Source organism: Homo sapiens, chromosome 12 (assembly GCF_000001405.40).
Source record: "Homo sapiens chromosome 12, GRCh38.p14 Primary Assembly".
Lineage (NCBI taxonomy): Eukaryota > Metazoa > Chordata > Mammalia > Primates > Hominidae > Homo > Homo sapiens.
Window position 1 is genome coordinate 110,933,676 of NC_000012.12, and position 9,531 is coordinate 110,943,206.

Below are 9,531 nucleotides of genomic sequence, written 5' to 3' on the forward strand. Positions count from 1 at the left end.
CCATAACTCTACGGGACAGGCACCATGTCTATCTTGCCCACCGCTGCTTCTCCCGCACCCAGTACGGCACTGGCACATAGCGGGCACTGCGTCAGCCCTTGTCGAATGACTGCTCTCTTGTGGCACTTTCTGCATTCTGCTTCATTGTTTGTTAGTCTGTTTCTTCCACTAGAATCTTCTGGGCCAGGGGCCAGGATTCATGCATCTCTGCGGTGCCCTCGGTCCTGGCACATAGTAGGTGATCATGATAGATTTGTTCCGTGGGACTGAATTCAACTGAGACCAAAGACGATCCTGGAGTAAGTCCAGGACACATGCCAGAAGGGCCTGAACAACTCTCTGTGCTGTGTCTCCAGGGCTGAAGGCATTGATCCTTGCACACCCACCTTGCTTGCCCAAGCCTCTCTGGGCCAGCTAGGTCCCCTCTGGCTAAGAGAGAATGGGGGTGTCAGGCCTCAGGAGAATTTTTTTGAGGTGAGTGTGAACTTTACTCTTTATCCCCTGTCTCCAACCATGTCACAGAGGTCAGGGCTTCAGCTCATCTTCCCTGCCAACTCCACTCAGTAAGAAAGAGTGCTGTGATTGATTAGCAATGTCTGCCATGGACTGAGTGAAGGAAGGGTGACATGTATGCCATTGCCACATGCTATGTATTTGCTATTCCTCCTTCGTAGGTGTCCTCTGAGACAGAAAGAAAGTTCTAGGGCCATGCATGGTGAAGAGAATAGGAGAGACTTTTGGGGTTGGGACATACAGTGAAACAGTTTCATTTCCCCCAGGAAAAGCCAGCCAGAAAAAGTTAGGCTGGCCCTGTTCTCTTGGGTGACTTTGGACAAGGGAACAGGAGCCCAAGGGATTAAGGGGGAGGGTGTGCTAATACCTCTGTATCCTCACAGGGGGCCAGGGCATTTCACAAAGGACAAAAATAGATGAGAGAGAAGAAAGACAAAGAGGGATGGCTCATGGAATCCTCTCTGGAATGAAGGTGTGTGGCCAGCAAGGGCCTCGGAGGTGAGTCATGGTTTTACAAAGGGAACAGGCCCCAGGGAGGGGTATGGGCTGCCTGGTGCAATGCCCAGACACTGTCCTCAAGGTGAACCAGAGAATATTTAGACAAATGGAGAAAACCAGGATGATTTTAATTCGGAACAGAGAACTGGGACCCTGGATCAGTGAGGAATGTTCTGGGATGCAGGTGATGGAAATCCATTAGCAGCAGCTTAAACAAACGGGGGGTTCGTTTTCTCTCAAGAAGTTGGAGAACAGACAGTTCCACGGTTGTTCAGTAGCTGGACATGATTGGGGACCCCAGAGTTGTCTCTGTGACTCTGTGGGGGTTCCCTCTTGTGGTCCCAAGATGGTGGCAGCAGAGCCAAGTGTCCTGTCCTCACGACACTACGTTCAAAGCAGAAGCTGGGGCGGGGGTGGTGGCAGTGGGGGTGGGGTCAGGTGCAAATGTTTCTTTACTTCTTATGGAGGACAATATCTTCATGGGGAAGCCCCTAGGAGACTTTTCATACATCTCACTGGCCAGAACAAGGTAAGGCGCCCACATCTAGACCAAGTCTGACCTACCTGCTTTGACATCCAAGGTTCTTTGGCCTAATCCTGAACATAACCAGAGTTCTATTAGCAAGAAAAAAGACAGCAAATGGACTTGGGGTAGGCAATGAATAATGTCTGCTCCACCCACACCCCCAGTAACTGAAGTAATATTTCCCCAATATATATGGTACAGCACACAATATCCTGCAACAAAATGGTTCTATAGGCTGGGCGTGGTGGCTCACGCCTGTAATCCCAGCACTTTGGGAGGCAGAAGTGGGCGAATCATTTGAGGTCAGGAGTTCGAAACCAGCCTGCCCAACATGGTGAAACTCTGTCTCTACTAAAAATACAAAAATTAGCTGGGTGTGGTGGCGCATGCCTGTCATCCCAGCTACTTGGGAGGCTGAGGCAGAAGAAGCTCTTGAACCTGAGAGGCGGAGGTTGCAGTGAACTGAGATGATGCCATTGCACTCCAGCCTGCGCGACAGAGTGAGTCTCTGTCTAAAAAAAAAAAAAAAATTTTCTGTAGCCAACAAGAGAGTCTAGTTCAACAGGTTCCCCAGTTGCAGATCTTCTCAGAGCCTTTAAACAATGATGACTACTTATTGACTATTTGCCAGCTGCTGTGTCCATAGCTACATCTCTATTATCTCATTAAATCCTTATAATAACTCTAAGGGACAGAGGAAATAGAAACTAAGGAAGGGGGCAGAGCCAGGAATTGAACCCAGGACTCTGATTCTAGACTCCTATGCTGTCCTTTTACTACAGAGCAAACATCTACTAAAAGGGACAAGTTATTCTTCTCTGGGGGATACTGAATTAAGACTGAAAGCCTGGAAACTTCCAGCTTCTCTCTTGCTATTCCTTTCTCCCCGTAGATTGCCCCTGGCTCCTGGGAGAGGAATTCAGATTAAATCTCATGTCTTCGGTGTGGATTCCCAAAATTGAAGTCTGCTCTTTTTAAAATTTTTTTGGTAACACCTTGTTTTTCTCTTTCAGGGCACTTACCTTAGTTTTTAGTCAGGTATTTTCATTTATTTGTGCGTTAGGGACTTGTCTCTTTTACTGTAATATCGGCTCCATAAAGGCTGAGGTTTTTGTCTGTCTGTTTTGCTGCTGTAGCCCCAGCACCAAGAACCGTGGCTGGCACACAGTAAATTCACAGTAAAAATGTCGAGTCAATGAACAATCTTGACTTGGCTAATTGATAGGGTTTGGCTGTGTCCCCACCCAAATTTCATCTCCAATTGTATTCCCCACTTGTCGGGGGAAGGGCCTGGTGGGAGGTGATTGTATCATGGGGGCGGAGCTCCCCCTCCCCCTTGCTATTCTCGTGATAGAGCTCTCCTCACTTCTCTCTCTGTCTCTCCTGCCACCATGTGAAGAAGGTGCTTGTTTCCCCTTTGCCTTCCGCCATGAGTGTAAGTTTCCTGAGGTCTCCCAGTCATACTGCTGGTTAAGCCTGCAGAACGGTGAGTCCATAAAACCTCTTTTCTTCATAAATTACCCAGTCTCAGGTAGTTCTTTATAGCAGTGTGAGAATGGACTAATACACTAATACATTTCCTCTTTCTGAAACTGCATGTGCACATTTGTTAAAAAGGCTGGGTAAAAACTTGTTTTGAAATTCTGGTTTTGTGGGGTGGGTTTGATAAAAGGATACATGCTCACCACAAAACCTGCGAGGAAACCTAGGGAAACCAGAAATTCCAAAAAGAGATCCCTGGGAGTTGGCCTTGAATTGCACCTGGCTTCCATCACGGTCAGCCTTGGCCTCAACAGGAGAAACCCATTCATTGCGAGACGCGGACTCTGCTTGAATCCGGGTCCTGCAGCTGAGAGAATGGGCTGCATTTTTTTTCTCGGCTCCTCTTCCTTTCTGAAAAGGCCTCCCGCAGATCCATCTGGCTGCCTCACCCCCGATGACCTTTCCATCCTGTTCCTTTCCAAATTCCCAGGTGTACTTGTTTGAAATGTATCTGGCCCAATCGCTGAGCGTCCGCGCTGCATTTCTCCAAACTGCCCAGCAGGGGGCGGTGCTACCTCGGCTCCGCGCAGCCACGGCTTCCCGCTGGCGAACCAAGGGCGCGGAATCTGGAGAGGGCGAGGAACATCTTTCCTCCCACCTGTCCCCCGCCAAGCCTGCCAGACCCGTCTCATCCGTGCTGCTGCTTCTGAAAATCAGAAGAGTGAGGATGAAATAAAGTCTTCATAAAGGAAAACCATTTGCTTGTTTAGATTTCATTCATTCACTACTCAAATATTTACTGAGCTCCTACTGTGTGCCAAGCCTTGTTCTAAGCCCTGGGAGTCAACAGGGAACAAAACAGACACAAATTCCAATTCCTGCCTTCCTGGAGCAGTCCTTCCTGCTGGGGGCCGGTGGGCAGGAGGTCTTAGATGACAAACGTAATAAATAAGCAAACGACCTAGGAGGTTAGAAGTTGATACCTTCTATGGAGTAAAATAGGAAAATAGAACAAGGTAAGAGGGAAGAGAGACAGAGACAAAAAGGAAGAAAGAGAGAGATAAACACGATTTTTTTTTTTTTTTTTTTTTTTTTGAGACGGAGTTTCAGTCTGTCACCAGGCTGGAGTGCAGTGGTGCGATCTCGGCTCACTGCAACCTCTGCCTCCCAGGTTCAAGTGATTCTCCTGCCTCAGCCTCCCGAGTAGCTGGGTCTATAGGTGCGCGCCGCCACGCCCAGCTAATTTTTGTATTTTTAGTAGAGACGGGGTTTCACCATGTTGACCAGGACGGTCTCGTCTCTTGACCTTGTGATCCGCCCGCCTTGGCCTCCCAAAGTGCTGGGATTAGAGGCGTGAGCCACGGTACTCGGCTAATTTTTTTTTTTTTTTAATATACTTTATTGAGACAGAGTCTCTCTCTGTCACCCAGGCTGGAGTGCAGTGGCACCATCATAGCTCACTGCCGCCTGGAACTCCTGGGCTCAAGCGATCCTCTCACCTTAGCCTTCGAGTAGCTGGGACCACAGATGTGTGCCACCATGCCCAGGTATTTAAAAAAAACTTTTTTAAAATAATGTCTCATTTTGTTGCCCAGGCTGGTCTTGAACTCCCAGCCTCAAGCCATCCTCCCGCCTTGGCCTTTCAAAGTGCTGGATTACAAGCGTGAGCCACCGTGCACAGCCAAGACACAATTTTAAATCGAGCGGTCAGGAAGCCTCCTGGAGAAAATGACGTTTGAACAAAGACATGAAGAAAGTGGAGAATATTTGGAGAAAAGCATTTCAGGCAGAGGAAAGTGCCAGGGCAGAGGCCCCGAGGTGAGACTGTGCTAGCATGTTATTTAGTTTTTAGTTTTAAAAAGTGCAAAATAATATCCATTTACTGTGGGAAAATTAGACATTAAAAAAATCACTTCCTGTCCCTCTACCCAGAAATAACTGGTAACATGGTGGTGTATATTTTTGTGTTCTATTTTTAAGCATACACACATACATACGTGTGTGTGTATATTATATGTATTTTTTTTACAAAAATTGGGGTCATACCATCATACGGTTTCATAACCACTTATTTGCCTAATAATATAACAAGGCAATCATTCCATGTCAATAAATATTGATCCACATCATTACTGAAACGGTTGTAGAATGTTCCATCTCACAGATGTTCGGGATTTATTCAACCATTCCCCCACTAATGGGCATTTAGGTGATCTTCCCAATTATAAATAGCGATGCAGCCACCATTCTTGTAAAATTTCTACACTGTCTGAGTATCCAATTATTTCCTTCGGATGTGCTTCTAGAGTGGGAATGTTGGAGCAAAGGTTGTGCACTTTGCTCAACAGTCTGTGAGGCCTGCGTGTTTCTCAAGAGGGTTTGGGAGGGTTTCAGGGGGACCCTATAGCAGCCTGAGAATGTTTCATTTGGCAGGAAATCACCTTTTCTGAAGAGAAATGAGTACCCTACCACATTGCCAGGGCTTGCCTCTGTAGGGCTGGTCGTTTGGGTAATTTTAATTTTCTTCTTTATTCATTTCTATATTGTATTTTCGGTATTGGACATGCATTGCTTTTTGTATTAATTTTTCTAATGAAAGCAATTTTTCTTGTTATAAAAACCAAACACAAGAGAAGTACGTACAGTAGAAAGAAAAGGCCCACATCTCCCCAGAAGTTGCCCGGGTTCATTTTGTGTGTTCACCTGCTAGACATGGTTCAGCTCCTGCATAAGTTTTGTTATGGGAATTTTCCCTCAGTAGGAAGAAAATACTGTCATAAAAATAAAAAAATTTAAATAAAATTAGTATCATGTTACACGTTAAAAAAACCTCCAAAAGGGTTCGTTTAAAACATGATTTCTATTCCTTGCTTTCTTCTTTTTTAAAAAAAAATTATTAATTTTTGATTCTTTTGTAGAGAGAGGGTCTTGCCATTTTGATCAGGCTGGTCTCAAACTCTTGGGCTCAAGCGATCCCCCAGCCCTGGCCTCCCAAAGTGTTGGGATTACAGGCATGAGCCACTGTGCCTGGCCCTTGCTTTCTTCTCTTAACAAGACAGTTGTCCCTTGGCATAGGTGGAGGATTGGCTGCAGGACCCCTTCGTATACCAAAATCCTTGCATACTCAAGTCCCGCAGTCAGCTTGAAAAAAATCCATGTGTAAGTAGATCTGCATAGTTCAGACCTGTGTTGTTCAAGTGTCAACTGCCTATCTTAGAAATTGTTCCCTATAGGGGCACATGGGCTGCCTTGTTCTTTTTCTTTTTTTCTTTTTTTTCTTTTTTTTGAGACAGGGTCTTTCTCTGTCACTTAGGCTTGAGTGCAGTGCTATGATCATAACTCACTGCAGCCTCGACCTCCTGGGCTCAAGTGATTCTCCTGCCTCAGCCTCTGGAGTAGTGGGACCACAGGCACGTGCCGCCATGGTTAATTTTTTTATTTTTTTTTTACTGTTAGAGACAGGGTCTCACTATGTTGCTCAGGCTGGTCTTGAACTACTGGCCTCAAGTGATCCTCCCACCTTGGCCTCCCAAAGACCTGGATCACAGGCATGAGCCATCATGCCCAGCCTGCCTTGTTCTTTTTAATTGATGCAGCAATTTTCATTATGTAAAGGTCACATGAGTTATTTATTTGATCCCCTATGATGGATAGCTGGGTTGTTTTGCCATTAAAACAATGATACATGGAACATCTCCATGCTCTAGTCTATGATGAGAGCAGGACCGGGCTGAGCAGGGCTGAGAGGGCCCACAGCCTCCATCAGGCTCACCTCTCAGCTGCATGACTACAGTAGCTCAGCTAGCCTCTCAGAGCCTCAGTTTCCACATCTGCCAAATGGGTACAATCACAGTTCCCACTTCACGGTTTTGTGAAGATTAAGTGGCCAATGTTTATAAGTGTGTGGCACAGGACTTGCCACATCGTACATTCTCAGGACATTGTAACTAATATTTCTGGTGGGTATTTCCGTCATTTCATTTCCATGAGTGGCTAGCTTGAGAGAAGTCCAACTGTACCAATTTTACAGGTAAAGAAGTTGAAGAAAAAGGGTACACACAAGCCAGGTCACCTAACCCATAACCCATGCATGGCAAAGAACTTGCCCAGGGCTGCACCATGTTCCCCAGCCCACTAGCATCTCCCTTGGTGTCATTCCTTGCCTTGATGAAAGACCCCAGAGGGTCAGGATGGGAACTGAGACCTTGGGCCCATCCCTGACTGCTCTGAGCCACCCACTACTTTACCTTCAGAGGAGGGTTTCAGAAGAGCTGGCCTCTGCCCTTTCAGCCTGAGATCCCACCATGACTGACCCAAAACATCGCGTCCCCTAGAGTGTCAATGTCACATCCTCACTTGAGAACTCCCAGCTCTCCTGGGGGCTGGGGCGGGAGAGCATTGGGGCGGGGCCCCGCCGCCAGCCTCTGTTGCTTGGCTCTGTGGGTGCACGAATGACCTCATTGCCAGGAAAGCTGAGATGTGAGCCCCTGGCACCTGCAGGATAGCATCTGTCACTGCCTTGAGCTGAGCTCCTAGCAGATCTCAACACAGAAGGGATGCACAGGGTTGGTTCCTGGGGAGGTGGAGGTGGGAAAGACAGGCAGGGAATTTTCCTTATTAAAAATAGCTGCCTTTCTTTGAGCGCTTCCCATGTGGCAGGCGCTCGGTTAAGCCTTGGTGTAAATTATGCCTTTTAGTCCTCAGGCCAACCTTGAGAGATAGGCACCATTATTACCACCCTCGTTTCACAGATGAGCGCACTGAGGCTAAGTGAGGTGCTGGGACTTGCTCATGGTGAGGGGGGTGGTGGCCGTGGAATGTGCCACTCTCCCTTCAAGAAAGCACCTCTTTCCTCAAGGTGTTGGTGACAGCTCCCAGTGCCACATCTCCAGATTGACATGGTGTCCATTGACTGCTCCCAGCCAATGACTGGGCACAGCCGGGGTGGGAGAGCTGGGTCACGCCTGCCCAAGACGGGGACAGGCAACCCTTGCTCTGGGCTCCCCATCAGCCTGGGGACTTTCTCAGAGCTGTACTGCAATCTGAGGCTCCTCCTCCCATCTTTTGTCCTTATCATTCCCCTCTCCATTCCCAGGTGTCAGACCAGCATCAGGATCTGAAGGTGCTCCCTCCCCCCTCCTACTCTCTCCTCTTTATCCTTTTCATTTTCTTTTCTTTCCTTTCTTTCACTTTTTTTTTTTTTTGAGATGGTCTTACTCTGTCACCCAGGCTAGAGTTCAGTGGTGCGATCATAGCTCACTGCAGCCTTGACCTCCTGAGCTCAAGTGATCCTACCATCTCAGCCTCTTAAGTAGCTGGGACTATAGGCGTGTGCTACCATGCCTGGCTAATTTTAAAATTATTATTATTATTATTATTTTGTAGAGATGGGGTTTTGCCATGTTGCCCAGGCTGGTCTTGAACTCCTGGGCTCAAGTAATCTACCCGTCTTGGCCTCTTAAAGTGCTGGGATTACAGGTGTGAGTCACAGTGCCCGGCCCTTTCATTTTTTTAATTTTTTGTAGAGATGGGGTCTCACTATGTTGCCCGGGCTGGTCTTGAACTCCTGGGTTCAAGCATCCTCCCACCTTGGTCCCCCAAAGCACTGGAATTACAGGTGTGAGCCACCGTGCCTGGCTTCCCCTCCCCTTTATCCTTCCTAGGTATCTTCCTCAATAAATCTCTTGCAAGTTCACTTCCATCTTGGTGTCTGCTTCCCAGAGGGCTGACCTGGAACTCTGAGGGAACTAGAATTTGAATTCAAATCTTTCTGAGACCGTGGTCTGCACTCTTCATCACTGTGCTATTTGTTAAGCTTAAAGCAAAGGCCTAGGTTTGAGGACTCTCCAGAGAACCAAGAAATGGCCTAGTTAACAACAACTATTATCAAGGCTGTTTGTCTTCTGCCCTGGCTGAATCATGTAATGTCATAGGAAGAGTCCTCAGATTAGTGTAAACTTAAGCAAGTCACTTATCTTCTGGAAGCCTCAATTTCCCAGCTGTGAAAGGAAGATGGCAATGGTACCTCCCTTGAGGGTTGTTACAAAGATTAAATGAGCATAGAGAAGAATTGCAATAGAGAGAACAACAGTGCTGCCAGCAGTTGAAAGGGACACACCCCCTACACACACACACACACACACACCCCCCACAGCCTCTACACTTAGGGCCAAGCCCAGGCGTTGTGGACATGATGGAAACCCCAAGAGATCAGTTAGGATCATCTCTGCCTGTAAACCTCTGATAATCTAGCTTAAACATAATTTATTTCACAAAATAAAGAGTTGGGGGCAGGCAACTCAAAGCTACGCAAAGCATCAAGGAAGCTACCCAAGATACCAGTTTCTTCTAATTTCCTGCTTCATTTTCTTAGGATATGGGACTTCCTTGTGGACATAAAATGGCTGCTGCAGCTCCAGGCCACACATGCACCTTCCAGGTAGAAAGAACTCACTAGGAAAGGCAAGAAGAAAACTGTTCTCCCTTAACAAGAACCTCCCCAGTTTCAGCTT

General features: G+C 47.1%; 1 long non-coding RNA gene across 1 annotated transcript, besides 5 other annotated features; it reads left to right on the plus strand.

The window, feature by feature from the left end:
* Window positions 2,190-2,883: an enhancer, noted in NCBI's record as "H3K27ac hESC enhancer chr12:111373669-111374362 (GRCh37/hg19 assembly coordinates)". NCBI's record gives its function as "activates a minimal SCP1, AML or CMV promoter by ChIP-STARR-seq in naive H9 embryonic stem cells {active_cell/tissue: H9 hESC(naive)}" and the evidence as "EXISTENCE:reporter gene assay evidence [ECO:0000049][PMID:30033119]".
* Window positions 2,884-3,577: an enhancer, noted in NCBI's record as "OCT4-NANOG-H3K27ac-H3K4me1 hESC enhancer chr12:111374363-111375056 (GRCh37/hg19 assembly coordinates)". NCBI's record gives its function as "activates a minimal SCP1, AML or CMV promoter by ChIP-STARR-seq in naive H9 embryonic stem cells {active_cell/tissue: H9 hESC(naive)}" and the evidence as "EXISTENCE:reporter gene assay evidence [ECO:0000049][PMID:30033119]".
* Window positions 2,884-3,784: a biological region, named in NCBI's record as "Sharpr-MPRA regulatory region 3484".
* VHRT (ventricular heart development associated lncRNA) lies at window positions 2,927-3,773 on the plus strand. The gene is made up of 2 exons (NR_036513.1): window positions 2,927-3,023; window positions 3,510-3,773. It is a non-coding gene; the product is annotated as a ventricular heart development associated lncRNA (long non-coding RNA).
* Window positions 3,490-3,784: a silencer, noted in NCBI's record as "tiled region #3484; K562 Repressive DNase unmatched - State 12:CtcfO". NCBI's record gives its function as "represses a minimal TATA promoter and a strong SV40 promoter by Sharpr-MPRA in K562 cells {active_cell/tissue: K562}" and the evidence as "EXISTENCE:reporter gene assay evidence [ECO:0000049][PMID:27701403]".
* Window positions 4,272-4,964: an enhancer, noted in NCBI's record as "H3K27ac-H3K4me1 hESC enhancer chr12:111375751-111376443 (GRCh37/hg19 assembly coordinates)". NCBI's record gives its function as "activates a minimal SCP1, AML or CMV promoter by ChIP-STARR-seq in primed H9 embryonic stem cells {active_cell/tissue: H9 hESC(primed)}" and the evidence as "EXISTENCE:reporter gene assay evidence [ECO:0000049][PMID:30033119]".